This window comes from Homo sapiens, chromosome 20 (assembly GCF_000001405.40).
Source record: "Homo sapiens chromosome 20, GRCh38.p14 Primary Assembly".
Lineage (NCBI taxonomy): Eukaryota > Metazoa > Chordata > Mammalia > Primates > Hominidae > Homo > Homo sapiens.
This window is the reverse complement of record NC_000020.11, coordinates 9,637,460-9,654,049: the sequence shown is the minus strand read 5'-3', so window position 1 is coordinate 9,654,049 and position 16,590 is coordinate 9,637,460. Positions and strand designations below refer to the sequence as shown.

Sequence of the window (16,590 nt, the reverse complement as noted above, 5' to 3'; positions counted from 1 at the left end):
GTGAGCCAAGATCATGAAGATCACCAAGATCACACTACAGCACTCCAGCCTGGGGGGCAGCACGTGACCCTGTCAAAAAAAAAAAAAAGAGAAGAAAAGAAAAATAAAAAGAAAGTGGGAAAGATGGAATAACAGTCAGAGAGAGATGCAGTATCAGCCAAGGAATACAAGTGACTTCTAGAAGCTGGAAGAGACAAGGAAATGTATTCTGCTCTAGAGACTCCAGAAAGGGACATACCCCTGCCAATGCCTTGATTTTTACCAGGTGAGACTCATGTTATACTTCCAACCTCCAGAACCGTAAGAAAATACATTGCATTATCTAAGCTGCTAAGTTTGTGGAAATTTGTTACAGCAACTTTAGGAAACTAATACAGTGGGAATTCAGAGAGAGGTATAGATGTAGTAGACATCTGGGGAGCAGAATGGATAGGAATTGATGATGATTGAATGTGCAGGATGATGCAGAAGAGAAAGGCAAAGTGAACTCTCAGAACTGGCTTCCACAATTTAATGCAATGGGATGCTATCTATATAAGGATTGAGATATGTAGGAAAGAAACAGAGCAAGTAGGAGATCATGAGTTAAGTTTTGGAGATGCTGAGTGTCAAAAATGAGAATAATCCAAGAGGAGCTTTGGAAGCATAGACACAGAGATTAAGAGAGAGGTTTGGGCTCTGTCTCCATATTTGGGCTCATTGGCATAAAGGAGAAGTAAACTTATAGTAAAGAATGAAACCATGGTGAAGTAGTGGCTTTTGATTGTTATATTTAACACACTTTCCATGCAGTTTTTCTGAGTACTTACTACATTGATGTTACTCTAAAACCCATGATTTTCTCTTTGCTATTATCTCAATATTATGTTGTCATTCTGCCAATGTGGAAATGAATAAATTTAAATATGTTTTCCTTAAAGTGTGCCTTTTGTCAATACTGGATATTGGATATTGCAGAAAGTTGAGAGGGATGAGTTGAAGCCAGGGTGAGGAGTTGAAGCGAGGAGTTAGAGCAGAAAGGTCTGATGATGTTGAGGGTCTAAAAAGTGTGCAGTTCAGATGGATGTATATGCTAAATCCAACTGTGGGCACAGATTTCAGAATCAGGGCAGAATCAGAAAGCTTAGATAAGAAGAAACCAGCAGACAGGTAAGATCCAAACATCATGATCAGAGGGAAGGGTCTAAGACATTCACAGAAGTAGAGAAGGACAAATAAGAAACAAAGATTCAGGTATGAAGTCGGGGTTTACATCCCAGTGGTAGAAATTAGAAGCCAGAATCAGATCCACAAAAGAAGAAAAGGGGTTACAGCTGTTTCTACACCTGTTGAGAAGGCAAGTGTGTTTGAATTATGATCCAGGTCAAAAAAACAGGCCCAGGTCACAAAGCAACTGGATAATGAGCATCTGTGCAATAGAAATGGGGACCAGGTACAAGGATAATCATTGTATTCACCCAACAGGCTTTGATACAGTTTCTCCTGGAGTGGGAAGCACCCAGTGGAACATAGTGACTGTCCAATGGGTCCTATTAGGAGACACTGTAGTAGATGAATCCAAGGAAAGGAAACTATGTCATTTATAACAACTTTGACACATAATGATTTTTTTTTAGAAAACAACTTTATTTTTAGATTATATGATGAACCCATCCCAAGATTTTTAGATTTTCCTATGGATCCCAAATATGTAATCTATGTTTCATTTTCCCTAAAATCAGCATAGCTAAAAGACTGGAGAATCTTTTGTTCTTGATTCTGAGGCTATAATAAATGTATATCTGAGCAATGACATCTCAGAAAGGGGATGGTGTGGTTGGTGCCATCCCCTCTGTAATGTGATTTCTGAAACAGTCACCTTTCTCCCGTAAGTGAAGGACCAGTCATTAAACCTAAATTATATGAACACAGGTAGGTATTTCTAAAGTACTTAAATTTCCATTATTACATTTACCAAGTTCTGAAAAATAGATCTGAGGCTAAGAAAAGAAAAATCTCTCTTCGTGAGGGAGTCAATAAGAAAAGACTCACTCTTAAGAGGTACGTTAAAGTCACCATTTTAAAATTCTGTGGTCTTATTCTTTCTACCATGTCTCTAGCTGGCTGAATGACTGGAAACCTTAATAGTTCAGTAATTATATTAACTCTTCACTTTATTAGACCAACACAGTTTGACATATTTCTTTCTTAATCCCAAATGTTATATTACAATTTGAGATTTTGAGGGGGGATATGGACAAAAGGATTTTCTAATAAGTGACCTCCTGCTCTGCCTGCCCCACCCCATCCTGTGCGTGCCCCACCCCGTCTTCAGTATGGCTTCTGCCTGCCAACTACTTCCTCCCAGGCAATCAAAGCCCCTGGGGCATATCCATGTCATTATCTTTTATTACTATTATTATTATGAAATATACACAACAAAAAATTTACCATTTTAACCAATTTTTATTGTACTGTTCAGTAGCATTAAATACATTCACACTTTCGTGTGACCATCACCACCATCCATGTCATTAACCTTAAAATGTTGCCATGGGTGGGACACAGGACTGAGCCATGAGTCATTGTTTTGAAAAGGTTGAAGAATGCTGGAACCTTCTCAATTTGTAATAGGGGTCAAGTAGCTGCTCCTCTACCTCTGCGTGTCCACCTGATGTGATGAGAGATGGCACTTCAGCCACTGATTGGACCTGGCTTATAGTAGAGTTCCTACTCCATTCCCTAAAATCCTAATTTGGATTGCACTTGCTAGGAGCCAGACACAGATCTAAGCCACTTTTCATGTCTTAGTTCACTGAATGTTCACAACAACCCACTGAGGGGGAGAATATTATTATTCCCATTTATCATAGGATACTGAGGCAAAAGGAGGCAAAGCCAGTTGCCCAAGAATGCAGAACTGATAAATGTAGCAGGACTCAGATTCAGATCCAGGAAGTCCGGGTCCCTGCTTTCAACCAGAACCCTAAATTAATGAGAAAATGGGCTGCCTGAGGAGGCAATAAGATTGTTTGATAAAATTCTTTTGCCGTTACCCTTTAGATAATTTTGTAAAGAAAGTAATTTCACAGAATGCCCATCTTGCTTTTTTGAACACCTCAAGCTTTATGCCCAAGAGAAAAATAAGGCAACAAAAATATTTTTAAAATAGTTATAAAGGAATACATGCAAGAAACGGGGGTCTCCATATGGCTAATGAAGACTTTGGCCCCTTTTAATGGGTGGTGGCTTCTTGTGGATATTCCCTAGTCCCTAGGCATTGCTGGTGAGTCCTGGGAAGTGGGGACCATAAGCCCCACAAGTATGCTACATGCCAGTTAGAGTCCTGGCGGGAAGCAGAAGGTGCACTCCAGAAGGGTTTACCTAGCACATATAAGCAAGGTTCTGAGAACCAATAAAAAATGTAGGAATACCCACAAACTAAAAACTGCAGGAAGATGTCACATCTAGCCCCACAGGGACTGAAAACTGGAGGGAAAACTGGAGGGAAAAGGGAATGGCAACAGAAGCTTGTAAATATTGGGGAATTTTGGCAAGAAAACCAGAGAAATAAGTTTAGCAAGAAAACAAGGGAATTTTGCAAAGAAAACCAGGGTAATAAATACCCAACCTCTTTCTCCACCTACAAATTGCCTGTAATTGGTCAAATCCCCCTAGAAACCAAAGACAAGGAAGTTCTAGTGACACAGTCATATAAATCAACTTAAAGGCACAGAGAAGAGAAGAGACTGAATCTGGGTCTGGGGAGAGAGTTGTAGTGTATCAATTCAGAAGAACCAGCAAAGTCTCCCTTGCAAGCAGATATTATGAGCAGTATTAACCACTCCCTTGTCTATCATGGAAGCAACATTCAGATCATCCAGTCCCTTGTAGGGCTTTCTTCTAATACCTTCTCATTGAGTTATCCAAACAATTACAGGAGCTATGCATATCTGGAGTTAACTCCATGTAGAATGGAGGACTCTCCATCTGAGAGAGGCTGCCAGGGCTACACAGCATGCTGCACCATGGGGGCTGGACTAGTATTCAAGTCAGCAGAGCATGGACCAGTTTGTACTCAAAATGTGGACTGCCGGGTTTTGAATTCCATTTCAGTTTCTTCCTACTTGAATGAACTTGGGCACATTTTTTTTTAACTCCTGTAGGCCTCAGTTTCCTTATCTGTGTAGCAGAAATAATAATAGTCCTTACAATATGAATTACTGTGAACAGAATATGTGAATTGGTACATATAGAGCAGTGTCTGACACACAGTTCATCCTAGATGAATATTATTTAAGTAGCATCTTCTGGTCCCTAATGAGGTGCTGCGCCATCACCCCAACCAGCATGACTCGAATAGTACCAGGTGCTGCTGCATTTGCCTGTTATTTCTTCTTTGACTCCCTACTCCCTATGCCTGTTCGTAGAGACCTGAATTGGGAGATGCCTGCATGTTGGAGCTTTTAGACTAGGCATATGCTTAAGGCAGGGCAACCCACTAAGTTAGGGACAAAGCTGGGCTGTCCCTGAGAACAGGTTGAGGGCTGAGATAACCATGAAGATGTCAGAGCAGAAATGGGGTATTAGAGTCTGGGGATCTGGATTTCCTTCAGTCTCTTCTATGACTTCTAAGACTTATATTTCATAGAAGAACATAGGGTGACTGAAACCATCCATCAAAGCAGTGTTTGCTGTGAGTTTTGCAGTAAACTTTCAGAAACAAGGATTCTGGGATCTGTTTACTATCCTTCTCTAGGAACTAAACTAATATTAGCATAATAAAGACCTTGAAATGTCCCACAAAGGGACCTTATGTAATTCATTTTTTCCCAAACTTATTTAGCTAAGGAGCCAACTTGGTTAATGCTGAATCAAACTGCCAGGTGAATGTTCACATACTGAAACAAATAATAAAGTGTTTAATAATGAAACAAAGAAATGAAGAAATATTTCAAATTAATTCTTGAATTGCCTACTTCTAAACCTATGTAACTTTCTGTACTGAAACATACCTACACAGCTGTCATGAATTAGGTCTGCTGGACACTGAGGAGTGGAAGGAGGTATGCTGTGCCCTTGGTTTACATGGGTGCTGAGCAGTAGGGATCTTTTCTTCTGTAGGAGAGGCTGCTCAGCTTCACCTGCTCAGTGACACAGTTTGTAATTTCTCAGAGAGGGCCTTTATGGAGAGACATGACAGGACCCAAGAAACCTCACCATCCACACCAACTGGGTTCCCTAAGAAAGGTAGGATGGTGTAACTGGCAGAGAAGGTAAATACAGGGCAGCCATACATTGCTCTCACAAGTGATTAAAAGCTTGTGTTTTGAGATTCTAAATCTCCAGTTTTACAAGTTTCTAACCTGGACTCTGAGCATCTGTTTCCTCTTCTATGAAAGGGCGATGATAATAACACCTCCTCTGCAGAAAAGAGTTAGTCTAGTAGGCTTCAGGATGCATATCCTAGAAAAAAAGCCTATTTGCAAGGTTGGCCCTTGGCTGGCATCTGGGAACTTGGATTTTAGCAAGTTCCTCACCATTCCCTGATAAAGAATGGCTTGCTGTGCCTAAACTGTTTATGCAAAAAAAAAAAAAGAGGTTTATGTTCAACCCCTGTTTTCCTCCTGGAATTTAAATATGGACTAAGCAAGGGGTGCCTATGTGACCAGTACAAAATAAAATCCTCAGGCCCTTCATCTCTGATGGGCTTCCCCAGTAGATGGCTTTTTACATGTGTTGTTACAATCAGTCCTGGGGGAATTAACCACAACCCGTGTGAGTTCACTAGGAGAAGACCTCTGAAAGCCTGCACCTGTATTCTCTGGACTTGGCCCCATGCACCTTTTCCCACTGCTAATTTTGTTTTGTATCCTCTCATGGTAATAAATCACAGCCACGAGTATGACTGTATGCAGAGTCCTATGAGTTCTCCTCATGAATCATCAAGCCTGGGGGTGGTCTTTGGGACCCCTGACAGAGGGCTACCATGAATGTGGGATGAGACGCATTGAACTTTTAGTGCCCTAGTAGGTAGAGACTGAGCATGAGCACATCAGAGAGAAGAAATATTCTGCCAAGAAGATCTTCACTTCCCTACTAGGCGTCCATCTGTCCCATGGTGCTAAAAGGCACTAGGACCCTGTCTCTGTCTTTCAGCTGAGTGTGGGCCTCCTCCTTGCTAACAGAGTAGTAGCCACTGCTGATAGAATGTCACAATAAATCTTGGAGATTTTGTCTCTGCACCTGTGAACTTCCCAGGAATATTGCTTCAGGATTTAGAGCTGTTTTGTGTTTTCCTTTTAAGTTGTTCCTCTGTAACTCTTTAACTCAAACTTACTGGAGAGGTAGAACTGCATGTTTGACCATTAAAATTATAGTTGTGCTGTATCACACAATGCAGTGTAGGTAGATTAATTCAGCTGTGGATTTCCTCTCCGCAACTCTCTTATTTAAAAACAGAAACAGTATTAGTTCATTGATATCTTCTTTTCAATGCTCTCATTGAGTGGCATAGCAACCACTGGGAAATTCACAATGAGAGAGGGAATAATAAGACATTTCTATTCTGCCTCTAAAAATATTTGGCCTAGCATTTTCAGTGCTTGTTCAGGTATGAATACAGGCCAAATAACTCTTCTCAAATGATGTTTCTGAAATAATTTCCATCTTGCATTTTTAAAAAATGGTCATAGCTAAAATTTCTTGAACTGTCAAGCGGACTCAGCCAACAAATGGCCAAATTATATTTTCAAATGTATTTTATGCTCACTAAATAATTTAGAGAGATGGTGTATAGAGCTAATTATTGGTGTAATTTCCTGCCACTGAAAACATTCCAGGCCTTCAACCAGATAGTAATATCACAATCAAAACTCCTTTGAGTTAGCACTCAATTGTGTAACAGCTAATATAGTTACCCAGATTGGATGTTGTTACTTGAAACTTTGAAGCAGCTAAAATAGAAACCTAAAAATGGCAAGCATCTGAAGATGCAAGGTAGAGGATGATAATCAGGGTTTTTGTTATGTTAGCTCTTTCTGTGTAGCATGGTTTAAAGCAAAAAAACATTTATTTGTGTCCTGATTCTGTAAGTGATAATTTTAAGTTCAGTTCAACTGTGTAGTTCTGCTGGTTTTGACTAGGCTCACTCATGTGGATAGCTGCTGGTCAGCTGGGCAGCTCTGCTTCTCAGGGTCGACTAGTTGCTGGCTGGGGAGACAGGTAACTGGGATACACAGCCCCTCATCTTCCAGCAGGATAGGCTGGCTTTGTTTTCATGCTGACTGCTGTTTCTAAGGACAGCAAGAGGGCAGACAAGCCACAGTGTGCAGGCACAGTGCGTATTGGTGTCATATTTTCTCTTGTCTCACTGGCCATAGCAAATTATATATCCAAGTCCAGAGTCAGTGTGGGAGAGTCCTCCTTGAAGGCATGGATACCAGGAAGAATGAAACATTGTGGGCCATCTCTGCAGCAGTCTATGACAGCAGGGTTCCTTTACTTCTTGACACTTTGGTTTGGGTGTGCCCAAGCGTTTAAGGTCAGCTGACTTGTATTTATTGACCTACTTGTAGTAAAGTACTTACAGAATTGTTTTAAGTTATAACTATATTTTCCAGGAAAGGTAATATATCAAGGTAGTTGAAGTCCTTATACTCTTTCATCCGTTTTCATTACAGCCCTTCCAAATTAGTCTGAAGTAACAACCAGAATGAATGCGATGGGTTTTGACGGAGTCCAGGGAGTGAAGGCTGTGAATGGTCTGAGCATTGCTGAGAGAATATTTATGTAGGTAGAGGATGGAAAAGGAACTTGAGAAAACTGGAAGGCATGGGAAGACCCTGCTTACCACACAGGGACAAGTGTTTAAAAGAAGTAACAGTTTTAACAGAGGATGAAGGGAAGTAAAGAAGGGAGAGTGAGAGAACATGGAGCTCCAACCGCACATGCTATTTACTGAATAAATGTGCTGTTCAGGGTGATTTTAGTCCATCAACAAATATTTTGTGAGCCCTACTATAGGCCAGGCAAACAGTAATGAAAAAGCAGGAAGCATCCTTTCCCTCATGGATCTTACATTCTAGTAGTTAAAACAGACACTGAGCACACCATTATATGTAATTAATTAATCGCAAGTGGATAAATGCTGTGAAGAATATATACATAGAAGTGTAGGAAGATAGGCTGGGCGCAGTGGCTCATGCCTGTAATCCCAGCACTTTGGGAGGCCGAGGCGGGCGGATCACGAGGTCAGGAGATGGAGACCATCCTGGCTAACACGGTGAAACCCCATCTCTACTAAAAATACAGAAAAATTAGCTTGGGCATGGTGGAGGGCACCTGTAGTCCCAGCTACTCGGGAGGCTGAGGCAGGAGAATGGTGTGAACCCGGGAGGCAGAGCTTGCAGTGAGCTGAGATTGCACCACTGCGCTCCAGCCTGGGCAACAGAGCGATACTCTGTCTCAAAAAAAAAAAAAAGAAGTGTAGGAATATATGACCTACCTATTCCAGTCCAAGGGCTGAGATAAGTCTTCCTCAACAAATCAACATGTAGGCCAAAACATCATCTTTCACAATGCCCATGCAGTGTTGTAAGGATTCCCAAAATGATGATTGTTCTATTCACAGATGAGTAGATGCAGAGAGGAAAAAAGCAATTATCTGGGATCACAGTGAATAGGTGACCTAGCTGGGATGCAAACCCAGGTTACCTTATGTGTTTTCAACATCATAAAGCATACTTTGCCTATTTTACATATTTTCTAGAGGTATTCTGGTCACTGGCTATGTTTCACCTAGGTAAACTATGTTGTTTCAAACAGGTAAAGTACACTGTAAAAAATTGTAAATATAATATACAGTGAAAAGTGAGTCTTCCTCCCTGCCTTCTTCCCCTGGTACCCTTCTCTGCAGGTAATATCAGTCAACTTTCTTGTATATTTGTCCAGAGGTGTATAATTAATACTTGAAGTAATTACTTTGTGACAGATGTTTTTCCAAGTGCTTTGTAAATATTTACTTGTTTGATCCTTTATGTGGTGACTATCATTATCAACCCATTTTTCATGTATGCATATATTTTATTCCCCACAAATGTTTTGGATTTTAACTACATACCAAACTTTGAAATGTTTCTCCCTGTGTACTGGTCAGCTTTAATAATGCTATATAACAAACAAGGCCAAAATCTCAGTGGCTTCATTACATACATTTATTTCTCATTTGCGAGTCAGCCGTGGCTCAATAATATCTCAGTTGAGCTTGCCTGGTCTTGGCTTCAGACTGGAGGTTGGGCTTGTGTCTGCCCTCATGCATCTCTCCTTCCAAGACCTAGGCTGAGGAAGTGTCATCTCCCTGAGAGAGAGATCTTTGTGACAAGTGACAGGAGCACAAGGAAAAAGTGGAAACATACAATGCCTTCAAAAACTTCTGCCCTGAACTTGCCAACTGTCTCTTCCATCCATAGTCAAAGCAGGTCACATGGCCAAATCAAAGTCAATGGGGCAGGGAACTATCATCCACATGGCAAGTTTAAGGAGGGAACAAAAAAAAATTGAATAAAATTATCTAATTTACACACCCTGAAAACTCAACTTTTATCTTTTGCAGCTGGGATCTAGAGGAATAACTGAAAAGATGTTGCCCTGAGTGAATTAACAATAGCTTTCTCCTGGTCTTCTGCTGGCAAGATATAAATGGCTGCCTCTTTTCCATTTATATTTCCCAGGTTTTGGCATCATGTTTGGGAAGAAAAAGAAAAAGATTGAAATATCTGGCCCGTCCAACTTTGAACACAGGGTTCATACTGGGTTTGATCCACAAGAGCAGAAGTTTACCGGCCTTCCCCAGCAGTGGCACAGCCTGTTAGCAGATACGGCCAACAGGCCAAAGCCTATGGTGGACCCTTCATGCATCACACCCATCCAGCTGGCTCCTATGAAGGTATGGTGAGGGCTCCATCTTTGGCTGGGCTTAAGAATCATGCTCTTATTTAATGCACTGCATCAGCTTTATAAGCAAGCTATAAAATGCCTAAACCACATATTTTTTAACATTCACAGATTATTCACAATTATTCTTTCATGATTATAATTTTCACCATTTCTTATAAATTGCAGCCCATGAAAGGGAACTTTGGCTTTAGATGTGATTTTTGAATAATCAGACACATAAAACACGATCACAAAATAGGACATTTTTATTTCGACTTTAAATGGTGTTTTTGTTAGACTTTATACTGAAGCATATTATCCATCCACTCTGGTTAATATTAGCAATAGCCTCTGACCAACATTAGACCACCTTTTGTTGTTTTCCATTTGCTCTCAAAATATTTAAACTTTTCTTTCATATAAAATTTACTACCAATAGATTTTAATAATGGTATTGATAAATATATATACATATGCATATTTAGGCATATACATGTATATGTTTATATAATCAAATAAATATGTGTGTATATATACACACAAACATATACGCACATATTTATTTGTCTTTATAGCTTTCAAATTTGTCTTTATAGCCTAAAAGAGAGCTATTTCAAATAAAAGCAAGTAATTTGAGTCCTAGAATCAGATATAATTTATCTTAAATATGTAACTAGGAAATGTTTGGCAATAAATGCTCATAAAAGTAATTACATGTAAGCAGAAAGCAGACCCAAAAAGATTTCAGTTATGCCAAGTTACTACAAAGAAAATCCAGGGATTGCAGTTTTCTTCTGCTCTTCAGAATGATAAGAATTCTATAGACTAGCAGGCAATTGCCCAAAAGTTCTCTATGGGAGTTAAACATCATGGAAACTTATAATCATATTATCCAGTGGATCATTCCAGAGTTTCATAATCTACACAAAGCTTGAAGTTCAGATTCTTTCCTTGTTCATTATATTAGTAGACATCTGTGCTATTTGAATATGTTATTCTGTGTTAACATGAATACTGCATAAACTGTATTTAAATAATATGCAGAACAAAACTGAATACATTTTTAAAGGGATGCAAAGAAAGAGAACAGCTGATACATTATGGGAAATGCTTATGAAATATCACCTGACCTGACTAAATTAGAACTGTGATTCCATTGTTCATGCACAGTGCTGGTCATTCTATTCTGGTATTGAACATATGAGTCTGTTCTGCCCAAAGATCAATACAGAGTCTTATAATTCTGCATTTTGTGAGTTTGATTTTCTGGTAGAATTTCAAAACTTTTCAAACCAACTAAAATGTTAAGTACATACACACACAAAAAAATGGATATTTGAGAAGATAAAGCTTTGGGAACAAAAGGAGGCTGTCATTTTAAACAGATATCAATTGATATTTATTAGAAACTGACTAACCAACTCTACTAGTTTGCATGTGGAAATATCCTACTATTGAACATAATTTTCTCCCTAAGAGAAGGCTAGCACTTCACTAATGATCATATAATAAGGTGGACCATATCTTTAAAAAGTTGGGATTAGAAAAAAATCTGCTTGTTTAGTTTCATTATTTTTCTTATATCCCAAGTTTTTACAAAACCCAGAAAATGCAATGAGCAGTGTGCCCTGAAAAGTCTTCTACTATTTATCACCATGGGGAAAGAAAAATTCTCACATGAAACTAAGACTTATTTTCTTACCCTGGAGTATCATTATCATTATCATTGGATAAGAAACATTCTAGATGGAAGCAGAGTCTTAAAGAAACATTCTCACACCAGTTAGAATGGTGATCATTAAAAAGTCAGGAAACAACAGGTGCTGGAGAGGATGTGGAGAAATAGGAACACTTTCACATTGTTGGTGGGACTGTAAACGAGTTCAACCATTGTGGAAGTCAGTGTGGCGATTCCTCAGGGATCTAGAACTAGAAATACCATTTGACCCAGCCATCCCATTACTGGGTATATACCCAAAGTGAGAGGTGACAGCATGCTGGCAGTCCTCAGAGCCCTCGCTTGCTCTCGGCACCTCCCCTGCCTGGGCTCCCACTTTGGTGGCATTTGAGGAGCCCTTCAGCCCCCCCGCTGCACTGTGGGAGCCCCTTTCTGGGCTGGCCAAGGCTGGAGCCCACTCCCTCAGCTTGCAGGGAGGTGTGGAGGGAGAGGCACAAGTGGGAACCGGGGCTGCATGCGGTGCTTGCGGGCCAGCTGGAGTTCCGGGTGGGCGTGGGCTTGGTGGGCCCCGCACTCGGAGCACCCAGCCAGCCCTGCTGGCCCCGGGCAATGGGGAACTTAGCACCTGGGCCAGTGGCTGCGGAGGGTGTACTGAGTCCCCCAGCAGTGCCGGCCCACCGGCGCTGTGCTCGATTTCTCGCCGGGCCTTAGCTGCCTTCCCACGGGGCAGGGCTTGGGACCTGCAGCCCGCCATGCCTGAGCCTCCCACCCACTCCATGGGCTCCTGTGCGGCCGAGCCTCCCTGACGAGCACCACCCCCTGCTCCACAGCGCCCAGTCCCATCGACCACCCAAGGGCTGAGGAATGTGAGCGCACCGCACAGGACTGGCAGGCAGCTCCACCTGCAGCCCCGGTGCGGGATCCACTAGGTGAAGCCAGCTGGGCTCCTGAGTCTGGTGGGGACGTGGAGAGTCTTTCTGTCTAGCTCAGGGATTGTAAATACACCAATCGGCACTCTGTATCTAGCTCAAGGTTTGTAAACACACCAATCAGCACCCTGTGTTTAGCTCAAGGTTTGTGAGTGCACCAGTCGACACTCTGTATCTAGCTGCTCTGGTGGGGCCTTGGAGAACCTTTATGTCTAGCTCAGGGATTGTAAATACACCAATCGGCACTCTGTATCTAGCTCAAGGTTTGTAAACACACCAATCAGCACCCTGTGTTTAGCTCAAGGTTTGTGGGTGCACCAATCGACACTCTGTATCTAGCTGCTCTGGTGGGGCCTTGGAGAACCTGTGTGTCGAAACTCTGTATCTAACTAATCTGATGGGGAGGTGGAGAACCTTTGTATCTAGCTCAGGGATTGTAAACGCACCAATCAGCACCCTGACAAAACAGGCCACTGGGCTCTACCAATCAGCAGGATGTGGGTGGGGCCAGATAAAAGAATAAAAGCAGGCTGCCCGAGCCAGCATTGGCAGCCCACTGGGGTCCACTTCCACACTGTGGAAGCTTTGTTCTTTCGCTCTTTGCAATAAATCTTGCTACTGCTCACTCTTCGGGGCCACACTGCTTATATGAGCTGTAACACTCACCGTGAAGATCTGCAGCTTCACTCCTGAGCCCAGCGAGACCACGAGCCCACCAGGAGGAACGAACAACTCCAGACGCGCTGTCTTAAGAGCTGTAACACTCACCGTGAAGGTCTGCAGCTTCACTCCTGAGCCAGCGAGACCACGAACACACCAGAAGGAAGAAATTCTGAACACATCTGAACATCAGAAGAGACAGACTCCAGACGTGCCACTTTAAGAGCTGTAACACTCACCGCGAGGGTCCGCGGCTTCATTCTTGAAGTCAGTGAGACCAAGAACCCACCAATTCTGGACACAAAAGGATTATAAAACATGCTGCTATAAACACACAAGCACACGTATGTTTATTGCGGCACTATTCACAATAGCAAAGACTTGAAACCAACCCAAATGTCCAACAATGATAGACTGGATCAAGAAAATGTTGCACATATATACCATGGAATACTATGCAGCCATAAAAAATGATGAGTTCATGTCCTTTGTAGGGACATGGATGAAGCTGGAAACCATCATTCTCAGCAAACTATCACAAGGACAAAAAACCAAACACCGAATGTTCTCACTCATAGGTGGGAAGTGAACAATAAGAACACATGGACACAGGAAGGGGAACATCACACACCAGGGACTGTTGTGGGGTGGGGTGGGGGGAGGGGGGAGGGATAGCATTAGGAGATACACCTAATGCTAAATGATGAGTTAATGGGTGCAGCACACCAACATGGCACATGTATATATATGTAACAAACCTGCATGTTGTGCACATGTACCCTAAAACTTAAAGTATAATAAAAAAAAATAATAAACATTCTAGCTGAAGACCCAGGACATGTGCCGTCTTGTTAGAGTGTATGCATTATTTGGTTAGGACAAAGTATCATTTACTTCACCACGGTTTTTCACTTGTCCACAACCTAGCAGGTCCTGTTTGAGAGCAAAGAAAGAGGCTTTCATCTTAGTGGTAACACATCATGTTCTGTGGATGTGGGACTTAGCAGAACCTTCTACCTAATTTCTTCCATTTCCTAGGTGGGCTGGCTTGTTATCCTTTCCTCTCTGACAATCAGTCCCACTGAGAGTTGGAGCAAGATTTCCTCACTTCTAAGCTGCTAAACCTTGTGCTTCTCTTACTCACTAGTATGGGCTTTCCAGCCTTTGTGCCAAATGCATGAGCATTCAGTCCATATGAAATGAAAAGACTAAAATATTAGTTATAGACACTTAAATGTTAACTGGGTGATGACTGGAAGATACATCTCAAGTATAGAGCAGGTTCTGGATTTCTGCAAATGAGACTTGAGGCACAATTGTGCCGCTGAGGGAAAAAAATAAAATAAAAACAGACAAGGAGTGACAAAAACAAGATCCAGCTAGGTTGGATCTCACCCATAAAGAGTAAAGTTGATCAAATCCATTTAACTGAAGGACACCCAAAAAATCTAGTACCTCATACTAACACTAAACTCCCATAAAGCAAATCCTATCTTTCTCCAAATATGAGTGTAAATATGTCTCCACATATGAGTTCAGTTAACATCACTGGCAGACAGTAGACAATATTGGTGGTCAAACAGAATCCTGTGACTACCAGACTCTTACAATAAGTAAAAATTAAAAGGTTTAAGGGGACAAACTATGTTATATAGTTTGTATGATCCCATTTTTTGAAAATGGCTTCTCTGGAAAAATCTTACAAGTCACCTAAGAATGACATATGATAAAGTATAGAGAATATATCTCAGAAGTCAAAAAAGTCCTTGAAATAAGAAGTAATGAATAAATGGGCAGAAAAGACTGGATATAGTCATGCATGTTTAAAGCCATTTTGGCAAAATTATTTAAGTTAAATAGAACCAACCATTCTAGTTGGTTTGGTCAAAGTGTCCTTTAAATTGAGAAAGGAAAATGAGAAAAGAGATCATGACATAAAAACAGTCAACGGAGGAAGTGTGTCGCCCCTGATGTTGTGGAAAATGCCAGTTCTTCAGTACTTGTCAGCAAGCTTTGCCAAGCTAGTTCCGAGTGGAAATCTGCCGTTGCCACCAACACTCTTCCTTGATTAGTTAGGATTTCAGCTGTTCCTGTTTAGAACCTCAGGCTTACCCATTGTCACGCTTACCAGGACACACCTCTCCTCTGTGTAGACTTATTTAGGCCAGGGCTTCTCCAGCCATACAGCAGATCAGAATCACCTGAAGAGTTTGATAAAACACAGATTGCTGGGCTCCATTCTCAGAATTTCTGATTCAGTAGAACTGGGATGGGGCCCAAGAATTTGCATTTCTAATAAGTTTCCAGGTGGTACTGATGCTGCTGGTCTGAGGACCACACTTTGACTTTGATTTAAGTAGTATAAAAGAATGTATCCACATAAGGTATAATCAATGTGAGTTTACACCAGCCGGGATTTCCAAACTGTCAGAAATTTAACCAGAAGCCACAAGTTAGCTTGTACTTGTGTCAACAGTTTGTGTGCCCAAACTTTTGGGCTAGCCATGTAGGCCATGTAGGGCTAGCCAAGATAACCTGAATACCCCAAGGGGGAGGTTCCCTTTAAAACATTTGGCAAATATCATTGAGAAACTCCTTTTATATCTAATGTCATTTCGTCCATGAGAACATCATAAGCAATATTACCAAAATCTGTGCTGAATTAGATGCATTATGTAAAGGGCAGGTTGAATGGTCGTATTTGTTTGTGATTGGCCAGTAATTCTCAAACTTAGACTTTCATAAGAATTTCCCTGGGGGCTTGTTATAGCTCAGATTCCCAAGCCCCACCCTAGGTATTCTGATTCAGTAGGTCTGGAGTGAGCCTGATAACTTGCATTTCTAACAAGCTCTCAGATGCTGCTGATGGATAGATGTACTTTAAGAACTGCTGTTCTAGGTGGACTAAAGCCACAACATAATGATCACCCTTTCCCTTTGTTACAGCCTAGAAATCATTTGAAAATGCTAAAAAACAAAATACAGAGGATAATATTTAAAAGCTTTTGTAGCTTCTACCTAAAATGAAAAAAAGCATATCTTAATATTTGCTTCATATTTCTTTTTAATTTTCAGGTAGAATTATACAAATAATATTAGATAGTTTTATTCGGCATATGTGAGTTTTATGAAATGATGTCATAATGTATATAATCTCTAACTTGCTTTTTTACTTAATAGTGTTTTGAGATTAATTCACACTGATGTGTAGAAAATGAATTTATTTAAAAATTACTCTAGCTTTTTTTTCAATTTATCCATTTCTCTACTAAGGGATATTGTCAAGTATTTGCTATTATAAATATTAATAATATTGTCATGGACATCTGTGTTCATGTCTTCTTGGGCCTATGGTGAAAAGTTTTCTTGCAGTGGTTCTCAAAAGTGTGGTCTAAACCTATGGGGGGT

The 16,590-nt window shown here is 40.9% G+C and overlaps 1 protein-coding gene across 7 annotated transcripts in view; it reads left to right on the top strand.

Moving 5' to 3' along the window:
* Window positions 1–16,590, top strand: part of PAK5 (p21 (RAC1) activated kinase 5) — a 301,707-nt gene that overhangs the window by 185,027 nt on the left and 100,090 nt on the right. For all 7 annotated transcript variants that reach the window (NM_177990.4, NM_020341.5, XM_017027960.2 and 4 more), the window contains one exon: window positions 9,711–9,925. In NM_177990.4, the coding sequence (NP_817127.1) occupies window positions 9,722–9,925 (204 nt within the window). In that variant the 5' untranslated portion in view covers window positions 9,711–9,721. The remainder of the gene's footprint in view (window positions 1–9,710; window positions 9,926–16,590) is intronic.